Source organism: Homo sapiens, chromosome 4 (genome assembly GCF_000001405.40).
Source record: "Homo sapiens chromosome 4, GRCh38.p14 Primary Assembly".
In the NCBI taxonomy this organism is placed as follows: domain Eukaryota; kingdom Metazoa; phylum Chordata; class Mammalia; order Primates; family Hominidae; genus Homo; species Homo sapiens.
In genome coordinates this window covers 1,327,892-1,350,659 of record NC_000004.12, presented here as the reverse complement: position 1 = coordinate 1,350,659, position 22,768 = coordinate 1,327,892, and the positions used below count along the sequence as shown (strand labels likewise).

The window sequence follows — 22,768 nt, the reverse complement described above, 5'->3', positions numbered from 1 at the left end:
TCACACCCAGGTGTTCACAGTGCATTACAACAAAACACAATGCACGTCTCTCTGCTGTCTGAGCCCGGGAAAGCCAGCACGTCTGCTAACTTAAAAGAGGTGACGAGACTTCTCACCCCAAGTACCTCACAGGTAGGAGAGCAGTGTGCTTGTTCCATTAGCAGGCAGAGGCTGCTGACTGGACCCAGGAGTCTGAAACAAACCCTGAGCATGAACCCTGGGAGACAGGGCACTCCAAGGGCACACAGGGAAGCCAGCAGGGCTGGGTCATTGCACTGGGGAGGACTGAGCCTTCGTGGCAGGTGGGGTAAGGGGCACGGTAGGGTCTGGGCAATGAGGCTGGGTTCAGGCCACAGTGGCAGATCCTGGTGGGTTTCATCATGCCAGGCACCAGCCCGAGCCCATAGTAGGGTGCGGGTGGAGCCTTAAAGTGCAAGGTTGGGACAGGTCCCAGAGTCCAGGGGCCACTGTCACAGAAAACGTTGCATCTGAAAAGTTGGATTTGGCTTTTCCTTTGTCTCCTACACGCACATAAAAAATGACACATGCAGCCTCAGCTCCACCCACACATAAAGCTTATGCTCTTCCTCTCAGAGCTGCGCCGCCCCTCTCAGGGAGGCCGTGACCCTAGATGCTGCCCTCTTTCCCACACCCCACAGATGGTCTGGCAGCCTGGGTGTTCAGGCAAGGCCAAGCAGGCCCCTGCTGTGCTAGGTTCAACAGGAGGCGCATCTTCACCCTGGTATCGTCTGCCCTCCTCACGTCAGGTAACCAGTCTCTGAAAAAATGGGCCAGGCCCACCTACCTTTTTGTTGTGTCTTAAGAAGTGGTAGCCCAAGGCAAGCTTCTTGTAGGCCTCCCCAAACTTCTCATTCCACCCTTCCACGGCCCGGGTGGTCGCCTGCCTCAGCCTCTGTGCCGCCTCCCTGGGGGGCGGCAGAGGCTGTGCGGGGTCTGTGCCCAGCGTGAGCTCCAGGAACTCCTGGAAGTTGGAAACAACCAGCATCCGGAACTGGTGAGACCTGACGAAGAGTTCCTCCACAATCTGGAAGGCTGAGAGACGGATCTCGGCGTGCTCCTGGGTCAGCTGTGCTATCAGCAGGCGGTAGGCGCGGCTCAGCTGCTCCTCTGAAGACCTGGGGATGCGAGCTGGCCTGACCCAACTGCCCCACACGCAGAGGATGGGCGGGGGGAGACTCTCCGTGCATGGATGCCGCACGCACGTGTGGCAGGGACCACCACTGCCTTCCCATCTTCATTCTCCCCTTTTCTAGAGCAGGGTCTGCAAACTACTGCCCAAGGGCCACATCTACCTCCCCAGCCCCTGCCTGTTTCTGTGTGGCCCACAAGCCAAGAATGTCAATACAAACAAAAAATACTTGGTGAAATGTGAAAATCATATACACTTCAAATGTCGGTGTTCATTCACAAAGTGTCATTGGAACGTCGCCCATCTATCCACCTACATCATCTACAGCTGTGTTCACAACTGAGGCATTACAGCAAAGCCTGAAACACAAACCATCTGGCTCTTTAAACACACGTTACCTAGCGCAACACACACCGCCCGGCACAAACGCCCACCGCCCGGCACAAACGCCAACCGCCCGGCACAAACACACACCGCCTGGCACAAACCGCACACCGCCCGGCACAACGCACACCGCCCGGCACAAACACACACCGCCTGGCACAACGCACACCGCCCAGCACGCACACTGTTTCAGCTGGGTGCCTCCTGCTGCAGGAAGGAAGGAAGGCCTAGAGCTCGGGACATCTCCCAGCCCCTCCTGAATGCTCCTATTCCCAGCTCCTGACCCCACATAAACCATTGCGAATTCGATTTCCTGGCGCAGGCCACAAAACCTGACCTGAAATTTTCTATCAAAATGTCAACACTCCATCACTGTATAAACAATCTATAAACTGCCATTTTACAAACACAGGATACAGAATAATCAGTGTCCTCGACTTATGCTCCACCCTCCGAGGGGAAGTTTTGCTTCCCCCATGAATCTCTGGCTGCCTGAGGGTGACGGCAGAGATCCCCTCCGGCGTTTTCCTTGGAGGAAGTGAACAGAGGTGGACATACCCTAAAGGCGATGGACCAACTCGCCCATCAGCAAGCTCTATTCTTTCCCTTCGAAAAGTCCAGCAGCAAAGAAAAAGATGCACGTTTCTCTCTGAATCACATTTGTGCACTCAAGAACTCCTACAGGATGTGCTCCAGACCACACAAATGGGAATGAAGAGAAGCACCAACCACAGAGCAGTGGGGTCCCCAACGCCACACGCCCCGACCCCAGAACATGACCACCCGTCAGAGCCGGGTACTGCAGGGCCCCGAGAAAATGTCCTGGGTGTGTCCCTCGGGTGGTTCTCTCCCAGGTGGGGGCAGGAGGGCAGGGCCCTGTGTGTGTCCTGGGCTCAGTGGGCCAGTCAGTTACTGTTACTGAACCCTAAGACATACTTGCAAATTTTCTTCAGTTCCTTCATTTTCTCAGGATTTAGTCGGGGTTCTCCTGAAGTTGTGAGCTCTTCTACCAACTTCGAAAGTTTCTGATCCATATCTAGAAATAAGTAAGGCAGAGATGCTATATCACCATCTGTATTTTATAGCTCTCGGTGTTATTAACGTGTTTACTGGGTTCCACTATAAACCGAAAGCTCCGGGAGGACCCTGAGGCTGGGGTCCATCTGTGGGTGCCTCTCTGGGAAATATGTGTGTCCAGCAAGGCCTTTACGGCGGTGATTGCAGTTTTAAAAGTGAACCTTAAACTCGGGACCTCTACAATCCCGTGTGTGGGACGCTGCATTGAGGGTCGTGCGTTAAAGGAACCAGTGGCGCTGTCCGAATCAGCTTTTCCCCAACGTGACTGTTGCTGTTTCCCTTATTCACTCAGATTCCGCAGGGCAGCCTCCAGCAAGGCTGCAGAGGCCAAGAGGAGCCAAGAAATTCTGAGACCAATGAAAAGTCGCGTCCGGAGAGCAGGGGCGGCCCTAACGGAGGCAGCCTGCCCGGATACCCAGGGCCGAGCACCGCGGCGTGCCTGGTGGGATGAGGCGAGGGCCTGCCGCACCGCCAGGGAAAGGCCGAAGGACCCGGAAGGAAGCGCCAGGCGAGGCCGGGGCGGAGGCTGGGAAGCTGCGCCCTACTCGGGGAAAGAAGGGGCCCGGCAGGGCCACGCGAGGCTTGGACCGCGGGGTCGCTCTCGCACAGCGGCTGCACCGGGCGGGCGCGCCGGCTTCGACGGTGCTCGGGGGGCTGCGGCCTGTCACTCGGCCCAGGGCCCGCCCTCCGGCCCCGCCGCCGGCGCTCTCGGGCACACGGGACACGCCCTGGCCGCAGGTCTCTGCCCGGCGCCCGCAGAGCCCCGGGGACCGAACCGGCGCGACCCCCGCCCGGCAGCGTAACCACAGCCCCACCTACCGCTGACGCGGCCGCTCGCCTCGCCCCGCCCCTTCCGGCGGGGGGACCGCCCCTCTTGTCAGGTGCCCAAGACCTCTACCGCCATTGGCTGGCCCTGGGCCGGACGCATCAGGACCTGGGGTCACCACAGCGACGACTGCACCTACCGCTCGACGCGGCCTTTCTCGCCGTTGCCCCACCCTTTCCGGTCAAGGCCCCGCCCCCTAGCACGTGCCCTGAGCTCGACAGCCAATGGCTCACCCCAGCCCAGGAGGCGCAGGCGCAAAGACGCGGCCGAGGTCTGCGCGGTGACGTAGGCGCGCTCCCGGCGAGGGCGAGGCAGGCTGCCGGGGGTGGGGAGGGGGACGCACGAGAAAAAAGAGGCGGGAGGGCGCAGAAAGTCCTTAAAGGGGCCGCATGTACGGGCGCCGGGGGCGGGGCCGGCCGGGAAACTGAGGCCGAAAGGAAGTTCCGGTCTGGGCCTCAACGCCACGCCCGCCCGCGGGCTCGCAGCCAGGTCCCTTCACCTGCAGAGGGCCGGTGAGGACCGCCCAGACGGGCGGGCGCGGGCCCCCGCCCCCGAGCTCGCCCCGCGCAGGGCGCCCTGAACCCCGCGGCGCCTCCCCGCTCCGGCCTCGGGAAGGGAATCCCTGGGCGGGCTTGGGGGTCTTCGGGGCCCACCTCGGCGCCAGACGCACAGCAGGTACCCCTGGGCCCGGGCTGGCCCTGGGCGGAATGAGAAGCAGAGGCGCCGTCCGTCCTGCCGCCGAAGTCCGCAGCCTCGAACGCAGGGGAGTGCGAGGTCGGCTGCGGACGGACGGACCTGGAGACCGCGCTTGGGAAACCGTGGCTTCGGAGGAGCGTGGTGTGGACCCCACTCGCGGGGCGCCCGGCACAGGCCACGCAGAGCAGACGCCCGACTGGGCTCCCGGGGCTGGGTGCAGGGCGGGGGCCGCCGGCGGCGGGCCGGGGTTTCTTTTTCGGGGGGATGGGCGTGCCCTTGCATTACGGTGGTGGTAGCTCACAACTCTGTTAATCGTGTTTTTACAGGGTGGGTTTCAGGATGTGTGAGTTATATCTCAGTAAAGCAATTATTTTAAAAAGGAAAAGAAGAGGGACTCCCTGCGCCGCCCCTCTCTGCAGCACCAGCTTCTGTCCCTGGGCGTCAGTGGCTCCCAGCTCCTAGCTTGCAGCCAGCCCCGAGCCGCTCCTCCGCCTCACCCCTTCCTCACCCTGCCTCTTGCTTCACTGAGCAAGCTGCAGCCAGACCCTCCCTCAGCGCCCCTTGCCCTGTGCATCCAATCCCCGGCCTGTGGCTTCCTCCAAGGCACCCATCCAGCAGTTTCCCTCTGTCTTCTACAGCGTGGTTTTTTTTGTTGTTACTAGTTCTCATTAGTATAAAAGGGTGCCGTTTCTCCCATACTAACAAAACCCTCTCTTTATCCAACTTTTCTTACCAATTGCTAAGTCCAGTCTCCTTTACACTGCCCCGGGGTGTCCTCTCAGCCCTCAGGCTCAACAGCACAGCCAAGCTGCCCGTCCACTGCCCTCTGTATCCGCTGATGGCCCTGCAGCCTTTTTTTTTTTTTTTTTTTTTTTTTTTTTTGAGACAAAGTCTCGCTTTGTCACCCAGGCTGGAGTGCAGTGGCACGATCGCGGTTCACTGCAGCCTCCGCCTCCCGGGTTCAAACGATTCTCCTGCCTCAGCCTCCCGAGTAGCTGGGATGACAGTCACCCGCCACCACGCCCAGCTCATTTTTGAATTTTTAGTAGAGACGGGGTTTCACCATGTTGGTCAGGCTGGTCTCGAACTCCTGACTTCAGGTGATCCGCCCGCCTCGGCCTCCCAAAGTGCTGGGATTACAGGCGTGAGCCACCGTGCCTGGGCCACCGTGCCTGGGCCTGCCCTGCATCCTTCTGTTCGCTTGGACCAATTATCTGACTCACTTGGGCTTCTCTCTTCCTCTCACTCCATGCCCATTTGGTTTGCAAATCCTGACAGCCCTACCTTCAGAACACATCCAGATCTGAGCACGTCCCACTGCCTCATTGCCACTGCCAATTCCTGGCCACCCCTGCAGCAGGTCACTGCCGTCACCTTGTCTTTCCCTTGCACCCTGGTACCCCTAGACCATCATGCAGCAACCAGAGGGACCTTTGAAAGTCTAAGGTCGGATCACAGGATTCCTCTACACAAAATCCTCCGACGGCTCCCATCCCAGGGCAAGGCAAAACCTGTCGTGGCCTGTGTTTGCTGCCCCCTGCATCCCACCGGTTGACTTCTCCAGCCTGCTCTTGCTGCCACACGGCCTCTGGGGAGCGGATCCCTCTGCCGGGAAGCTTCTGCCAGTATCCACAGAGTTCCTTGCCTCCTTCCAGCCACTGCTCATGTCTCACCCTGAGCAAATACTTCTGCACCCGCTCACCTCCCTGGCTCAACACCCCCCATCCGTTTTCTAAACCTGCCGTGCTTGTTCCCAGGGCACTTCTGGCCCTTGTGTCACACAGACTTACTGTCTTACTAGGTGATTCGCTTTTTTCTCTTCACTCCTAAAACATACAGTCCCTGAAAATAGGGATCTTTGTTTCATGAAGCCAGACAAAAAGCAGGTGCTCAATATTTGTTGAATGCTGGATAAGATTAGAAAGCCAAGATAAATCATGATGAGAGTTAGACGATATTCTTGTTTGTTTTTGTTTGAGACAGAGTCTTGCTCTGTCGCCCAGGCTGGAGTGCAGTGGTGTGATCTCGGCTCACTGCAACCTCTGCCTCCCAGGTTCAAATGATTCTCGTGTCTTGGCCTCCCAAATAGCTGGGATTACAGGCGCCCACCACCACGCCCAGCTAATTTTTGTATTTTTAGTAGAAACAGGGTTTCACCATATTGGCCAGGCTGGTCTCGAACTCCTGGCCTCAAGTGATCTGCCCACCTCAGCCTCCGAAAGTGTTGGGATTACAGGCATGAGCCACTGCACCAAGCCAAGAATTAGAAGATACTTCTAAAAGATATTTTAAAAGAACCAATGGAAACTTAGAGATGATAAAACCCAAGCAGGATAAACAAAGAAAACCACCCAAGGCACATCTTAAATTGCAGAAAACTAGTGACAAATCTTAGAAGCAGTCAGATTAAACAAGGCGTATGACATACAGGCACAAAGAAGCCAAGGATTTCTTGTCCCCTCCTCCCCCTCCACCCAAAAAAAAAAGCCAGAAGAAAATGGAACATCTTTAAGGTGGTAAAAGAAAAAATACTGTCAATCTAGAACTGTATATGCAGCAATATAGCCTTTAAAAACTGAGGTGATGTAAAAGCATTTTCAGACAAAAGCTGCATGAATTATGACCAGCAGATTTGCAGTCCAGGAACTGTTATAGGATGCTCTTCAGATGAAAGGAAAATGATACCAGAGGCAAACTTTATAAAAGGAATGAAAAGTTCTATAAATACTTTTTTTTTTTGAGACGGAGTTTCACTCTTGTCACCCAGGCTGGAGTGCAATGGTGCGATCTTGGCTCACTGCAACCTCTGCCCTCTGGGTTCAAGCGATTTTCCTGCCTCAGCCTCCCGAGTAGCTGGGATTACAGGCACGTGCCACCACGCCTGGCTAATTTGTGTATTTTTAGTGGAGACAGGGTTTCACCATGTTGGTCAGGCTGGTCTCGAATTCCTGACCTCATGATCTGCCTCCTGGAGGTGGCAATACCTTAGATGCGAGAAGGATCTAAATCTGCAGGAAGATATACCATATTCATGGGTTGAGGACTCAATATTGTTATGATTTATAAGTCCTTGTTATGGACTGAATTGTGGCCCCTGCCTACCAAATTCCTATGTCGAAGCCCTAACCTCCAATGTGACTTTATTTGGAGATGAGGCCTTTAAAGAGGGGAACGTTAAATGAGATTCTAGGGATAGAGCCCTCATCTGATAGGACTGATGTCCTCGTAAGATGAAGAGACTCCTGAGATGTGTGTGCACAGGAGGAAGTCCACCACGAGAGGTACACAGTGAGAAGGGGGCCGTCTGCAAGCCGGGAAGAGAGGCCTCACCGGGAGCCAACCCTGCCAGCATCTCCTCTAGAACCGTGAAGAAATAAATGTCCATTGTTTAAACCCGCTAGTCCGTGGTCTTCTGTTACGGCAGCCGAGCAAACTAATACCGTCCCCAAATAGGGATGATAGGTTCACTGCAGTTCCAGTGACAATCCCAGCACACTTTTTACAGTGTTCAGCAGACACTGATGAGTTGATTTTACAACGTGCGTGGAAATGCAACAGACCTAGGACCACCAAGACCATTCTGAAAAAGCAGAACTGGAGGACTCATCATACCCCCTGGTTTCAAGATTTGCCTTAAAACGGCAATAGTTAAGATAATGTGGTGTTAGGACAAGGATAGACCTAAAGGCCAGTCTAACAGAAGGTAGTGTCCAGAAATAAACCCCAACTTAACACAGCCAGGAATTTTTTCTAATGGAGCCAACGTTATTCAACGGGATAAGAAAGGTCTTTTTAACAAATGGTGTTAGAACAATAGAGTAAACATATGGGATGGTGGGGAATCATCCTCAGGCTCTTCCTCACACAACACACACAAGTTAAGAGATGTGTTACAGACTTAAAAGCCGAAACTGAATCTTCTGGAAGATATATTATTGCAACCCTGGAATAGGCAGATTTTTTTTTTAGAACATAGAAAAGCATTAGCCACAAAAGAAAGAATAAATTGAACTGCACTAAAACTTAAAAAATCTGCTGATCAAATGACAGTCAATAAAGTATAAATACACATATCCCTCAAAGGATTTGTATGTGAGGAATCCCTACAAATCAGTAAGATAATGCAATTTAAAATGAGCAATAGACAAATATGTAAATTACAATCAGCGCATCAGGTCAAAATCAGACATCAAAGAAAAGCAAGGGAAAATCACACTGTGGCCCCAGTGCACACCCACCTGAATGACTAACCTGACACTACCAAGTGTTGACAACAATGTGGGGCCACTGGAATCCTCACACTGCTGCTGGAGTGTAAAACACTACCACCAACTTTGGATAAATCTTTGGCAGTTGTGGTACAGTTAAACATAAACACACCATGACTCAGTTCCTTCTACTTCCAGAGAATTACTTCCCAAAGAAATGAAAATAATGTCTGCAAGAAGACTGGCACACAAATGTTCATAAGAGGTTTACTTATTATAGCCCCAAATAGGGAACAACCCAGATGTCTATCAAGAGAATGGATACAGGCCGGGCGCAGTGGCTCACACCTGTAACCCCAGCACTTTGGGAGGCTAAGGCAGGCAGATCATGAGGTCAGGAGATTGAGACCATCCTGGCCAACATGGTGAAACCCCGTCTCTACTAAAAATACAAAAATTAGCTGGGTGTGGTGGTGTGCACTTGTAATCCCAGCTACTCGGGAGGCTGAGGCAGGAGAATCGCTTGAACCCGAGAGGCAGAGATTGCTGTGAGCCAAGATTGCGCCACTGCACTCCAGCCTGGTGTACACTGTGGTCTGTGCATACATGGATTACTATCACTCCACTCAGCAACACCTAAGGACGGAACTGCTGACATGTGCAACAGGCATGAACCTCACAAGCGTCTGTGGAAACAAGCCAGATCCACCAGTGTCCACATTCCACCATCTGACACCTATGGAGGCACAGCTCACCTACGGTGACAAAAATTAGAGCAATGATTTTGTGTAGGGGTTGTGGATAACTCAGAAGGTACAAGGGGTCCCTTTCTGGGGCCATGGGGACGTTCCATGCCTGGGCTTCAGTGGTGGTCACATGGAGGTACATTTATTAAGACTCATTGAGTAGCTTTTACTTGTATGTGCATTTTGGTGTATGTAATTTTTACCTCAATTGAGAAAGAGTACAGCGAGATAACACAACCAACAAAACATCTCACATTCAAGACTCCCAGTGCCACTCGCTGGTGTGGATGTGGAGCAGATGGGCAGAAGTGGGTGCAACCCCTTTAACAAACCGTCAGTGTCTGCTGAGTGGACACGTGGCCCAGCAATGGCAACTCCTCGGCATCTCCCCACAAAAGAATGATGCGTCCAGCAAGGGTCACCTCCCGGAGTGCTCACAGCAGCTTTACCTGGACACCGCCTGATGTCCACCGGCGGGAGAGGGGCCAGGCCGCTGCGCTTGTTCTGCCTGGAGAGCACAGGCCTGTAACCAGGCAAGACTTTGCCGTGCCAGGGCTGAGCCGCCGAGTAACGCTGAGCCACGGACCCACGCCATGTGGCTCTGTGTTCGAGGAGCTCAGGGCCGGGGTGCGCCACTCCAATGATGACTGACCAGGATATTGACCGGGCAAGGCCAGGGGCTGGGAACAGTCTGTTTGGTGGTTACATGCATGTTACACAGAAATTCGTTATGTGAACTTAGAATGTGTGTGCTCCAGTATGTTCTACTCGAGTTAAAAAGGAAAGAACAGGACGCAAGACAAGGAAAGCCCCTGCACGTGAGGACGGTGGAGGCCGGGGCGGCTGCGTGGCAGTGGGGCCACAGGGTCTGCTTCGGCCGAGGGGACCTGGGGACGGGCGCTCCAAAGAAGAGCACGTGGGAATGTGGTGGGTTCCAGCTGGGTGCTGTGGAGGGGCCAGGGCAGCCACCATGGGGTAAGAGATGGGCTAAGGGGCACCAGGCTGGCCACAGGAGCTGCGACGGGGCACTGGAGAGAACAGGGGTGGGCGGTGGGGGGAAGGGCCAGTGGCCACAGCCCGCAGGCCTCCTTAGCCCAACCCTAGACTCAGCCCAAGCCGCAGGCCCAGGCTTGCTGGTGGCTGCAGCCTGAGCCCCCACCCCCAACAGACAATGGCCCGTGGGTCCCAGGAACCAGTGTCTGATTCACCCAGCTGCAAGCCGGGGCCTCAAGACGCTGGGGCCATCACGCCTCAGGGCAGCGCCCGAGAGGAGGACTGCGGTCCGGGCAGGAGTGGCCTCCAGCCGGCTTCTCAACTCCCGGTGGCCGTGGTGCCAGAAGCTACGCATATGCCCGCCATGCTGCCCGGGCCCCGGGGAGGAGCAGAACACAACCTCGGTGTTAGAAACGCACGGCAGCCTCGGCTCACACGGAAATGAGAAATAGAAAACCATTTTATTCGCATGGTTTACATTTACAGTTTATTAGCTAGTCAACATCAACATGCAAAAATAAGCACTAACTACAAACCTCTACGATACGGTTCTCTGTCAGCTACGGTGGTTCATTTGTTTTGAAAAGTCATCAGTACTTCTTTCAACTGAACGATTAATTTCTGTAATGGATAGCAATTAGACTCTACAGTTATGGAACCATCCGGCAAGGCCTCTGCAGAAATTTGGTCCCGTGGATTTCCACGTTATACATTCTCGAAGCAGGAAGTAAGGCGGCACACAGAGGGTGTGATATCGAAACGACGCAGCTACGAACACAGCCCCGCGATGTGATATCGAAACTATGCACGTACGAACACAGTCCCGCGGACACGACCCGCGAGGCAGGCGGGCGTCCTCGAAGCCAGCCCCCGACGGTGGCGGCGCCAGGCGTTTTGGCAGCAGCTCTCGAATGAAGCCATAAGTGTCCCTCGTGGCGCGGCATCGCGGGTCACTGCAGGTCAGTCCGGTGCCGCTGCCACCTTCCCCGGCCAGGCCAGGGCCAACAGGAAGTGGTGAAGGACCAGCCCGTTCTCCAAGTCTCATCGTTCACAGAAGGAAAGAAACTGAAAACACAGGGAAATCACGGACTCCTATATTTTAAACGTTCTTAAGTTTCCCTCGGTGTTTAGGTCAGTCTTTAAAGAAGAGTTTCCTTCGCAAGTTGAAAGTACTTTTCAGAAGCATCAAATGGTTGACGTGTTACAAAATCCTACCAATCCAAATGTTTTCAAGTACAAACTTATGAAACCTTATTTTCTCTCTTCCTAAGAGTATTTATCGTTGCTCACGGATCTTTGGTCGCAAGAAACAGAAACGCCGCGGCAGGCTGGAGCGTGGGACAGGAGGAAGGCGTGGCCTCCCCGCCCACTGCAGCCCGTCCCCGAGGCGTGCGCTTCACGACGTGGGGCCTACATGATGTACACCTTCTCGGCTTGTGAGAAGTGGAAGACTTCTTTGGTTCTCGGGCACACGACTTTATCATCTTGACGGATAGAAAGCAGAGACTGAAAAATAAAACCGGGAATGCATTAAGGCAAGCGACTACAACGTACACACGGATTTCCATGGAAAATCCCCACAATGAACCACCAGGGAATGACTCATCCTCTCAGGCAAAGTTCCTTCCCGAAGGCACACCTGCCAAAGAAATCCCGGGGCCACCTCGCCTGTCCTTCCCACCCCTTCATCCATTTCGAACGAAGCTAAGGCAGGGTGGGGCGAGAGGACAGCCCTGTCCCAATGGCGACGTGTGCCAGCCTGGCCCCGCTGCCCTGCCCGCCCCACACAGCCCTGTCCCGATGGCGACGCGTGCCAGCCTGGCCCCCCGCCCTGCCCGTCCCACACAGCCCTGTCCCGATGGCGATGCGTGCCAGCCTGGCCCCCCTGCCCTGCCCGTCCCACACAGCCCTGTCCCGATGGCGATGCGTGCCAGCCTGGCCCCCCTGCCCTGCCCCCCTCACATTGTAGCCGTAGACGTAGCCGTTGGGCAGCATCATGGGCGGATTGTTCTCGTTCATCACGTCGCCAGAAATCTTGCAGACCAGGCGGGAGTTGGCACAGTGGGCCATGGGCAGGGGCTGCGCCAGCTTGTTCAGGGAGCGGCTGCACACAGGGCAGTCAGGGCTCTTGGAGCTGCCGTCCTCCTTGTAGCACTGTCTGAGCATCGGGTCAAGGAAGGGTTGGGGGCCACTCAGGGCAGCCGGGGTGAGCCCAGCCCCCTGTGGCCACTCTGCCCTGGGCTGCGTGCCCTTCTGGCTATGTGGGCGCCATGCTGACTACACGGGGCTGTCTTTCGAGGCACAGGAAGTGCTGCACTCGACAGCTAAACAGCCCCACTGAGGCCTCGGTGGAGACAAGAAGCCTGCGCCTTCTCACCCCGGCCTCCAGCACCAGGACCACAGGCACAGAGTGGCTCCGTCGCCCGCCGCCCTCTCCCCGGCCACGCAACCTCTCCAGGCAGGACAAGAGCCACCCAGCAGGGACGTTCTGCTGGCACCTAGGAACAGGCAGTGGGCAAGCACGCCAGCCCTCTCGCCCAGAGTTCCACAAAGAGGGGACAAGGGAGGGGGCCTGAGTCTCATTCATACCCCGGCACAGCCAGGTACCAGCAGCAATCGCGAAACACTCACTGCCCTCTGGGCCTGAGGCAGGTCACATGAAAGACATTCATAGGCGGGGACAGAGTCAGTTGCAGGAGGACAGTCAGTCACAGGTGGGGACAGAGTCAGTCACAGGTGGGGACAGAGTCAGTCACAGGAGAGGGCAGAGTCAGTCACAGGCAGGGGTAGAGTCAGTAAGAGGCTGAGTCACAGGCAGGACGGAGTCAGTCACAGGTGAGACAGTCACAGGGCAGGGGCAGAGTCAGTCACAGGCGAGGACAGAGTCACAGGCGGGATGGACTCAGTTGCAGGAAGGGACAGACTCAGTCGCAGGCAGGGGCAGAGTCTGTCACAGGCAGGAAGAAGTCAGTTGCAGGTGGGACAGAGTCAGTCACAGGAAGGAATCAGTCACAAACGGGACAGACTCAGTCACAGGCAGGGCCACAGTGAGTCGCAGGCAGGGACCAAGTCCGTTGCAGGCGGGAGCCGAGTGAGTCACAGGCAGGAACTCAGTGAGTCGCAGGTGGGACAGAGTCACAGGCAGGATGGAGTCAGTCACAGGCAGGGACAGAGTCACAGGCAGACAGAGTCGGTCACAGGTGGGACAGAGTCAGTCACAGGCGGGACAGAGTCAGTCACAGGCAAGGTTCTTGGTAATCACACGGGAAAACTATTCTGAATGGTAATCTGCCGGCTGCCAGAACACATCAAAATCGGGCTTTTAGATCAATGCCCATGGCGGCCTCTGAGATGATGAGAGAGGAAGCGCGCCACTTCCCAGAGTGAAGGCTGCACGACGCATCCGAGGCCCCTCAACACGGCCCCACCCCGACCATCCAGACACCACGCAAGTGCAGCACACGGGAGCTCGGGGCTGTCTGTGGTGGGAGGACAAGAGTGGCAAGGTGCAGGGTCAGCGTGTTAAAATATGACCAAAGATGCCAACCCCAGGCCAAACCGCACTGCGCACGGGAGGTAGGATACGGTGTCTTGATGGCTGAGAGGCCAGCCTGCAGGGTGAGGGTGAACACAGAATTGTTTCCCAGCTGGTGTAGTCGGTAGTTGTCGTACCGGAACTGCTGGATCAGCATCCGCCACCGTGCAGGGTCCAGAAGGTCCTGGAAGACAGAGAGCAGAGGGTCCTGGGGATGCTCCCAGGGAAGCTCCTGGGACAGCTTAAAAACGTGGACCATGGTGAAGCAGGTGCCATCGGCCCACAGCCATCCCCCAGTGACCCACACACTTTGCACTAAGGGTCAGCACAAAGCATAACTCCCTCAAGTGTTGACTGATACACACAGTGGGATGAGTGCTGACTTAACTATGATTTCAACATGCTGCGGGATGAGTGCTGACTTAACTCTGATTTCAACATGCTACAGGGTCAGTGCTGACTTAACTCTCTGATTTCAACACACTGCGAGGCCAGTATGAACTTAACTCTGATTTCAACATGCTGCGGGACAAGTGCTGACTTAACTCTGATTTCAACACACTGTGGGATGAGTGCTGACTTAACTCTGATTTTAACATGCTGTGGGGTGAGTGCTGACTTAACTCCGATTTCAACATGCTGTGGGGTGAGTGCTGACTTAACTCTGATTTCAACACACTGTCGGGGGAGTGCTGACTTCTCTGATTTCAAAATACTGTGGGGCCAGTTCTGACTTAAGTCTCTGATTTCAACACGCTGTGAGGCCAGTGCTGACTTAACGCTCTGATTTCAACACCTGCAGGACAAGGGCTGACTTAACTCTGATTTCAACACTCTGCGGGACGAGTGCTGGAACTCTCTGATTTCAACATGCTGCAAGGCCAGTGCTGATCTAACTCCCTGATTTCAACATGCTGCGGGATGAGTGCTGACTTAACTCTGATTTCAACACACTGCAGGGCAGGTGCTGACTTAACTCTGTGATTTCAACACACTGCAGGGCAGGTGCTGACTTAACTCTGTGATTTCAACACACTGCAGGGCAGGTGCTGACTTAACTCTGATTTCAACACACTGCAGGGCAGGTGCTGACTTAACTCTGTGATTTCAACACACTGCAGGGCAGGTGCTGACTTAACTCTGTGATTTCAACACACTGCAGGGCAGGTGCTGACTTAACTCTGATTTCAACACACTGCAGGGCAGGTGCTGACTTAACTCTGTGATTTCAACACACTGCAGGGCAGGTGCTGACTTAACTCTGTGATTTCAACACACTGCAGGGCAGGTGTTGACTTAACTCTGTGATTTCAACACACTGTGGGGCCAGTGCTGACTTAACTCTGTGGTTTCAACACGCCATGGGGCCAGTGCTGACTTAACTCTGTGATTTCAACACACTGTGGGGGCCAGAGCTGACTTAACTCTGTGGTTTCAACACGCCATGGGGCCAGTGCTGACTTAACTCTGTGATTTCAACACACTGTGGGGCCAGTGCTGACTTAACTCTGTGGTTTCAACACGCCATGGGGCCAGTGCTGACTTAACTCTGTGATTTCAACACACTGTGGGGCCAGTGCTGACTTAACTCTGATTTCAACACACTGTGGGGCCAGTGCTGACTTAACTCTGATTTCAACATGCCACAGGGCTGGTGCTGACTTAACTCTGCTACACTCACTTGTGAATCAACTTGAATGATCTGGAATGTGTGCAACCTGTGCACTGTGACAAAAAATAGACTCACACAGCTGGAAGGACAGCTCAGTGCAGAGTGCACCTCAGAGCATTAGGTGTAAAAACTCTTACTTCAGAGAAATCATGTATGAAATGGAAAACAACCGGTCCATGTTAGGTTAAAGCATCACAGAACAGAAAATTAAACCTGATGAATGTCTGTCCCTAAATAACCTCAGGTTTAGACTTAAGAGAGAGAGCGTGTGTGAGCACAGGAGAGAAAAACCTTCACATCAACCCAGAAAGGCCGCTCAGTCTCTAGCTTGGGGGGAGACGGCCACACCTGGAGGGAGGGGAGGTGGTCATCAGGGGACGTCACCCATCAGTCTCTGTAAGCTTCTCAGTCTCAGTTTAGGGTAAACACCACACTTAACTCCAACATTTTTAAAGGCTGTTTTAAATCTCATTTTTGTCTAAAAATCAAAGTCTACAAGGGAGGAAGCCCACAGTCCAGAAGGTCCTCACTGAGAAGAACAGCTCCTGGCATCCTCACTCCCCAGGACTGGTTGCCTCTGGGCTTCTGGTGGCTTCTGCCATTCTCTGAACAAAATGCTTCCTTCTGTTTCTTGCCTGACCCATGGCAACGGGGCCCATTTTCCTGCCACGAGACACGGTTGTGCCCCCTGAATCTGGCAACAGATGAGCCTTGGGGCTGGCACTGCCTGCCTCCCTCTTTACCACACTGCAGGGCTGCGTCCGGTGAGAGGTGCATGCTCCACCCGGCCTAGGCCCGAAGTCTCAGCCCCCTGTATGGGTCAGCCTTTCCTGCATTTCTAACAAAATCCTCTCCAGAGCAAGCGAGAGAAACAAGGTGCCAACTCACAGTCTGGGAAGCTCAGACCCCACCCCTGAAGATCCTCGTGACCTAATGATGATTTATTATGAGATGCCCCAAACGCCTGAGAACCAGGAGAATTCAGGCTGAGCTTCCAGCAGCTTTCAGAAGGCAGCAGGTCTGGGACTGCCCAGGGCTTTGCAGTCCCTACAGGGTGGCAGGTGGGGGCTGCCGGGAAACACCCCGGCCTCTGACAGAGACTGGTGCCAGGCTCAGAGAACAAACTGTCAACTCCAGGAGGTTTTATCTGCTTCCCCCTTTTCCAGGAACTGAAACTGTTCCCAGTGTGATGAGCACAGGGGTGGGCATGGGGGTGGATGCAGGGGTGAGCACATGGTGGGCATGGGGTGGGCATGGGGGTGAGCACGGTAGGCATGGGATGGGTGCAGGGGTGAGCACACGGGCATGGGGGTGGGTGCAGGGGTGAGCACATGGTGGGCATGGGGTGGGCATGGGGGTGAGCACGGTAGGCATGGGATGGGTGCAGGGGTGAGCACACGGGCATGGGGGTGGGTGCAGGGGTGGGCACATGGGCACGGGAGTGGGCATGGGGGTGAGCACAGGTGGGCATGGGGGTGGGCATGGGGTGGGTGCAGAGGTGAGCACGGGCATGGGGGTGGGCAGGGGGGTGAGCACACGGTGGGCATGGGGTGGGTGCAGGGGTGGGCACATGGGCACGGGAGTGGGCATGGGGGTGAGCACAGGTGGGCATGGGGGTGGGCATGGGGTGGGTGCAGAGGTGAGCACGGGCATGGGGGTGGGCAAGGGGGTGAGCACACGGTGGGCATGGGGTGGGTGCAGGGGTGGGCACGGGTGCAGAGTGGAGCCACTCACCCAGGAGCAGCCAGCTGCTGGGTTGGGGCCAGGTCTGAGCACAGGGTGCCTGGTTAGTGATGGCAGAACCCCCAACCCTACCCCAGTGACCGCGGAGAGTCGGAGGCTCCAATATTTACAGATAAAATACAAAGCGTCAGCAAGAGAAAGAACCACGGAAGACGGTGCAGCCTAACTCCTGACTCAGGGGCTGTAGAGAAAGGAGAACCAGGGGGACAGGCAAGGAAGCTGGGCCCCGGCTGAACGCTCCAGGCTGAAAGGCTTCCTGAACCTTTCTCAACTGCTTTTTTTTTTTTTGGAGACAAGGTCCTGCTCTGTCACCCCAGCTGGAGTGCAGTGGCACAATCTTGGCTCACTGCAGCCTCAACCTTATGGGCTCAAGTGATCCTCCCACCTCAGCCTCCTGGGTAGCTGGACTATAGGCAGGTGCTACTATGCCCAGCTAATTTTCAAAAAAATTTTTTTTGTAGAGGTGGGGTCTCACTATGTTCCCCAGGCTGTTCTCAAACCCCTGGGCTCAAGCAGTCCTCCCACCTCAGCCTCCCAAAGTGCTGGGATTCCAGGGGTGAGCCACCACACACAGCCCTGATTCAAATTTCTTATGAGCAAAATGGGAGTCAAACAAGAAAAGCTTGTCTTGGCAGGCTGGACAGGCTGTGTGGCTGGGATGGGGCCCTCACGTCCCGCCCCACGTGTGGAAGCAGCTACAGACCAGAGACACACCCTGGATCCCCACCCCAGCATGACACCGACCCCAGGGACGCACGCCCTACCTTGTACGGGGAGATGTGCGTGTCGGGCGGGAAGGCCAGCATGCCCATGGCCTGGCGCACCTCGTCCAGCTGGCTCCCTTCTGCTTGGCTGAAGTGCTTTCTTGCATGTCTAAAAAACAACATTTTGGCACATTTAAGTTTGCGTTTTAATTTTAACTTTTAGAGACAGGGTTTCACTCTGTCACCCAGGCTGCAGTGCAGTGGCACAGTCACAGCTCACTGTAGCCTCGAACTCTCAGGCTCAGGCGATCTTCCCGAGAAGCTGAGACCGCAGATGTGCAGCACCACACCTAGCTAATGTAAAAAACATCTTGTTAGAGACAGATTCTCGCTGTGTTGCCCAGGCTGGTCTCCAACTCCTGGGCTCAAGCCATCTTCCTGCCCCGGCCTCCCAAAGTGCTGGGATTATAGGCATGAGCCGCTGCACCCGGCCTGCATTTTTAAGTTGAAAAATCTGAGCTAACAGCTTTTATGTCAGAGTCTAGGTACAAAGTAATCGCCTCACTCCAAGCCGACCTGCTGGGTGGGGCTGGGATGGCGGGAGGTGCGGCTCACCAGAGGCTGGAGGAGCAGCTACCAGACACTCCTTCCTCCAGGGGACCAGGGCACCCAAGCCACACAGACAACCCACGGAAAACACCAGAACTGCAAATGGCACCTGCCCCCGAGGGCTCTCCAAAGCGATTCTGGTTTACAAGGAACCCAAACCCTGAGGATTCCCACTCTCCCCAGATGCTCGCCCCCACGGACCCCGTGGCCCCAGCGGACCAAGAACGTGTAGTCTTCTCAACTGCAGTCCTTGCTGTTTGGCAGTGACGCCCAGCACAACCTTCCGAAGAACAGCCTCCCTCAGCCCACAGGCTGGACTCCCTGCAGATCCGGCCCAGCCCTCTCAGCCCTGAGCGTGCCACACACCACATGCAGCCACGATCTTTCCTGAGCCAACTCTGCGGGATGCACACAGGCCTACTCCAGGCCAGAACCCCACTCCAGTCTAAGGCTGGGCAACCAAGAAACCAAAGCAGAACATAACAGATCCCTTTCAAGCTGACCAGCGGGCACCTGCTCACCCCCAGGGCCCCCATTCTCATGCCCCCCCCCACACACAGGGTCACTGTCCCTCTGGCTGTCCTGAGGGCCTGCACCCCCATGTCCTGACCCTCACACGGGCCCCTGTGCACCCCACGTTCTCAGCCCTCAGGGCCCCTCTGCCAAAGCGACCCCAATGCACAGAACCAGGGGCCTCAAGTCCCATGTGTGAGTCAGCCCTGTGCTGTCCAGAACAAGGCATGTACCAAGGAACACAGGGCTGAGGAGGTGCCAGGCGCTCACGGTGGCCTTGGAGAAGATGCAGTGTCTCGCAGAGACTGGAGTTAGTGTAGGAGGTGGCCCAGCAGCCCCTTGATGGATAGCACGGGGACCACGTGTTGGAAGCACCACCAGGAGAGCCCGGGGCAGCAGGGAGTGGGGGGCGTCCACGCTTGGGACCCAGCCTGGGGAGTCCACATGGCTGACGCCCCAGGGCCTGTGCAGGGCCTGGGAGTCGGGGGTGAATCCACACGGCCGACCCCGCAGGGTGCATACAGGGACTGGGAGTCGGGGGTGAGTCCACACGGCTGACCCCGCAGGGTGCGTGTGCAGGGGCTGGGGACGGCCATCCGAGATTCCAGTGCCCATGCATCCCCCTCCTTGGAGCGTGTGGGTGGGCGTGGGTCTGAGTCCAGGAGGAGCCCCACCCAACCCCCTCATTCCATCTCTGGAGACAAGTCACCCTTCGTCACACGCCAAGACGTGCACAGAACACGGCCAACGGGCATCTCACCTCCTCCCAGAGCTGCTGAAGAGAGGAAATTTAATCTCCGTGGTTGACATCTACAAGATCTCATTTGCATGACCTGGTTTACGCGTCTTATCTCACCATCAATCAAACCCCAGACAGACATCATCCGCCTAACAAGCTGCCTCACCTCGCACCCCAGGTCCCTGATCCACAAATCCTGACCCCAAGACAGAAACAGAAAACCTAACAGTGGCGGCTGACTCTTTTCAGATCGTTTGATGCCAGCATTCAGCCCCAACACACAGAGAACTGCAGCCGAGATGTGGGGCCCTCAGAGCAGGTCCGGGGAGAACAGCACGGTATGCATCCACAGGACACAGGGGAAACAAAACCGTGACTTTTAACAAACTAAATGCAGCTAACATAAGAAACACAAAAACTTCCATTTTTCTTTAAAAATATAAACACACGGGCCAGGCACGGTGGCTCACGCCTGTAATCCCAGCACTTTGGGAGGCCAAGGTGGGCGGATCACAAGGTCAGGAGTTTGAGACCAGCCTGGCCAACATGGTGAAACCCCATCTCTACTAAAAATACAAAAATTAGCCGGGCGTGGTGGTGGGCGCCTGTAATCCCAGCTACTCAGAGGCTGAGGCAGGACAATCACTTGAACCCGGGAGGCGGAGGTTGCGGTGAGCTGAGATTGTGCCAGGCAACAGAGCAAAACTCAACCTCAAAACACACACACACACACACGGAAAGAGAGAGAGAGAGAAACACCCAGAAGACAAAATTCCTAAACTGTGCCTGGCCAGGCTGAGGTGTGGGTGTGCGACAGACGGCACGGAGCTGCTCACACAAAGCCCATGAAGTACAGGCCAGGTCCCAGCCGCCTGGGGTCAGGGATTCACTTACTCATTTACTAAAAATTAAAGGCGTTAAAAGTTAATCACTAGCAGCTCATACTTTTGCATTTCGCAAAAACCCACAAATGCCCCAGGCAGGGCGGAGCTGCAGCCACCCCAGCCAACGAGGCCCCCTGCCCGGCCCAGCACGCTGGCTCCACAGACAGCAGGACTCACCTTGCCTGCCCCAGTGGACCCAGAGGCTAGGCTGCTGGCCTCAAGCCCTGTAGATGGTGCCCGACGCTCCAGCGCCATGTGGACCGTGAGTTCAGAGGTGGACGGGAAGCTCCTGCGGGCTGGGACCCTGGCAGCAGGTGAGAGGGCCCTGCCTGGAGCCCTCAGGAGACATGTGGCCAGGCTTCTCCGCCTTCCCTCTTGTCCAGCCTCAGTGAGTGATACACAACACCCTCTGGGCTCCCAGCCAAACACCCGCACTCCCTCACCCCACAAACGTCCTGCCGATGCCCCACCTGCCACCCCAGCCCAGCTCCCGTGTGCCTTGTGGGTGGCTCCAGGGCCACGCTGAGCTGAGGCCGGACTTCCCTGACCAGGCCCTGGCACCTGGAGAACCACTCCCAAGACGGCCCCAGCAGAGGATGTAGCTCACACTGCGCCTGCCCCCGAGACACTGGGGTGTTGTTTGCCATGCCTGCCCGGCTGGCTGCTGAGGCTTCGAGGCAGCACGTGTCTGCTTGCGGGAGGAAGGACACGCACTTCCTGGGACCTGCCTGCTCCCCTGCAACAGACGAGGCCGCAGAGGGCACAGCTCTGAGCTCGGCTCAGACATTATGAGGTGGAGGCCCCGCGAGTCTCTAGGGCAGATTCTACCCAGAGCAGGGGGAACAAGGCAAAGAGACCCTACACGGAGCGGGGGGAACACAGGCAAAGAGACCCTACGCGGAGCGGGGGGAACACAGGTAAACAGACCCTACACGGAGCCAGGGTAACACAGGCAAATAGACCCTATGCGGAGTGGGGGTAACAGGTCAACAGACCCTATGCGGAACCAGCTGCCACCTAGATGAAGACATCTGTGACGGAGGGACTCCGGGATGGACACGTTTTGTTTTCAGACTCCAGGGCTGACAGTGGCCGGGGCCCTCAAGGAGACGGAGGCTGACTCGGGATGGAAGCAGACTGCCGCCGGACAGAGGCCAGCGACACAGGCACCGAGGCCACACGGAGGCCAGAGCAGAGCGGGAGCCCCTCCTCTTGACAGGGGGCCCCTGGCCGTGTCCCCGCAATGCTCACACGCCACTCTCCACTGGCCCGGGTCCCGAGATCCCCGCTTTAGCCCTCTCAGGCACAGAAGGGACCTCGTTGCAGGCCTGGCTCCCTCGTGCGTGAAGACGAGGCCTGACCTGCCACCATGCGCCCAGGTCAGCATCAGGAGCCGGAGCAGGACCCCGGGCCTCTCCAGGGTCCACGCAAGGGCAGGGACTTGCCGCGGTTCTGCCGTGCGTCTTGGGGACCACCCTCAGCACCTCATCGTGAGACGCCCACTTCTCCAAATGGGCCTTCTGTGGAACACTCGGCCACCCGGCCCACTGCAGGTGGATATGGAGTCGCGGTCGGGTTTCTGTGGGCATGGACAGGTGCCCCCTCCTGGCAAACACACCTGCTGGGCACTCGCCCGGGAGCTGAGGGCCAGCCAGGCCCACACACCCCACACAGCAACTCAAGCGTCACCGCAAGGCTTGGCCGCTCAGGAACCTCCATGAAAGTGAGTGAGACGACCTAGCACTCAAGGAGCAGCCCTGCCCCGAGACGGGGTGAGCATGAACTGGCCGACACTGCCCAGGCCAGGGACCACTGCTGCCTGACGATGCCCACTCTGGGGAGCCAGCGGGAAGCCAGCGGACAGCCTCTCTTCCTTTGCAGACGCCGTGCACCCCAACTGGGCTGAGCCACAGTGACAGCCAGCATCCCCTTCTCAGGCCTGACCACCAGGGCGCCGCTGGCCTCAGCTCACTGCACGCCGCCCTTGGGTCGGAGACAGGCCGGAGAACCCAGAAGTGCCCTCATCACACGCTGTCAACATTCCCCGATGACTGTGAGGGACATTCCCAAGCTCAGGACGCTTGGAGCTACCTGAGGACCACACGTCAGAGACACTCCCATCTACTGAGGCTGGCGGCACTTTCCAATGTGGAAAGGGGGTGCCGGGAGCCTGATCCACGTGTTTTACGTGGACGGTCGGGACCTCAAAGCTGGTTCCCCTGGCAGCCACGGGGGTCTGGATGCCCACCTGGGGCCACACCTTGGCGGGGGCCCTGCCAGGCTCCAGGC

The 22,768-nt window shown here is 56.3% G+C and overlaps 2 protein-coding genes across 32 annotated transcripts in view, besides 7 other annotated features; both read right to left on the bottom strand.

Moving 5' to 3' along the window:
* Positions 1-8,649, bottom strand: part of UVSSA (UV stimulated scaffold protein A) — a 53,979-nt gene extending 45,330 nt beyond the window's left edge. For 12 of the 20 annotated variants that reach the window (XR_007057948.1, XR_007057949.1, XR_001741304.2 and 9 more), the window contains exons 1-3: positions 4,091-4,351; positions 2,471-2,570; positions 806-1,136 (exon numbers count right to left, since the gene is read on the bottom strand). Coding sequence is in view for 15 of the 20 variants with exons in the window: in XM_047416025.1 (XP_047271981.1) it covers positions 806-1,136; positions 2,471-2,568 (429 nt within the window). In the remaining 5 variants the exon portion in view is untranslated. Of the gene's footprint in view, positions 1-125; positions 1,137-2,470; positions 2,571-2,772; positions 3,612-4,090; positions 4,352-4,866 lie in introns of those variants that run through there. The other 8 variants (XM_017008493.3, XM_017008494.3, XM_017008490.1 and 5 more) reach the window with 8 other exon arrangements.
* Positions 2,764-2,843: an enhancer, noted in NCBI's record as "active region_21153". NCBI's record gives its function as "activates an Ori minimal core promoter by ATAC-STARR-seq in GM12878 lymphoblastoid cells {active_cell/tissue: GM12878}" and the evidence as "EXISTENCE:reporter gene assay evidence [ECO:0000049][PMID:35858748]".
* Positions 3,074-3,513: a silencer, noted in NCBI's record as "silent region_15130". NCBI's record gives its function as "represses an Ori minimal core promoter by ATAC-STARR-seq in GM12878 lymphoblastoid cells {active_cell/tissue: GM12878}" and the evidence as "EXISTENCE:reporter gene assay evidence [ECO:0000049][PMID:35858748]".
* Positions 3,754-4,083: a silencer, noted in NCBI's record as "silent region_15129". NCBI's record gives its function as "represses an Ori minimal core promoter by ATAC-STARR-seq in GM12878 lymphoblastoid cells {active_cell/tissue: GM12878}" and the evidence as "EXISTENCE:reporter gene assay evidence [ECO:0000049][PMID:35858748]".
* Positions 4,304-4,393: a silencer, noted in NCBI's record as "silent region_15128". NCBI's record gives its function as "represses an Ori minimal core promoter by ATAC-STARR-seq in GM12878 lymphoblastoid cells {active_cell/tissue: GM12878}" and the evidence as "EXISTENCE:reporter gene assay evidence [ECO:0000049][PMID:35858748]".
* Positions 4,689-5,211: an enhancer, noted in NCBI's record as "H3K27ac-H3K4me1 hESC enhancer chr4:1339237-1339759 (GRCh37/hg19 assembly coordinates)". NCBI's record gives its function as "activates a minimal SCP1, AML or CMV promoter by ChIP-STARR-seq in naive H9 embryonic stem cells {active_cell/tissue: H9 hESC(naive)}" and the evidence as "EXISTENCE:reporter gene assay evidence [ECO:0000049][PMID:30033119]".
* Positions 5,212-5,735: an enhancer, noted in NCBI's record as "H3K27ac-H3K4me1 hESC enhancer chr4:1338713-1339236 (GRCh37/hg19 assembly coordinates)". NCBI's record gives its function as "activates a minimal SCP1, AML or CMV promoter by ChIP-STARR-seq in naive H9 embryonic stem cells {active_cell/tissue: H9 hESC(naive)}" and the evidence as "EXISTENCE:reporter gene assay evidence [ECO:0000049][PMID:30033119]".
* MAEA (macrophage erythroblast attacher, E3 ubiquitin ligase) overlaps positions 10,523-22,768 on the bottom strand; it is a 50,247-nt gene continuing 38,001 nt past the window's right edge. For 6 of the 12 annotated variants that reach the window (NR_123716.2, NM_001017405.3, NM_005882.5 and 3 more), the window contains 4 exons: positions 17,795-17,903; positions 13,666-13,799; positions 12,043-12,238; positions 10,523-11,586 (listed from right to left, as the gene is read on the bottom strand). Coding sequence is in view for 11 of the 12 variants with exons in the window: in NM_001017405.3 (NP_001017405.1) it covers positions 11,491-11,586; positions 12,043-12,238; positions 13,666-13,799; positions 17,795-17,903 (535 nt within the window). In the remaining variant the exon portion in view is untranslated. The other 6 variants (XM_047449493.1, XM_006713850.3, NM_001297431.2 and 3 more) reach the window with 5 other exon arrangements.
* Positions 10,960-11,478: an enhancer, noted in NCBI's record as "H3K27ac-H3K4me1 hESC enhancer chr4:1332970-1333488 (GRCh37/hg19 assembly coordinates)". NCBI's record gives its function as "activates a minimal SCP1, AML or CMV promoter by ChIP-STARR-seq in naive H9 embryonic stem cells {active_cell/tissue: H9 hESC(naive)}" and the evidence as "EXISTENCE:reporter gene assay evidence [ECO:0000049][PMID:30033119]".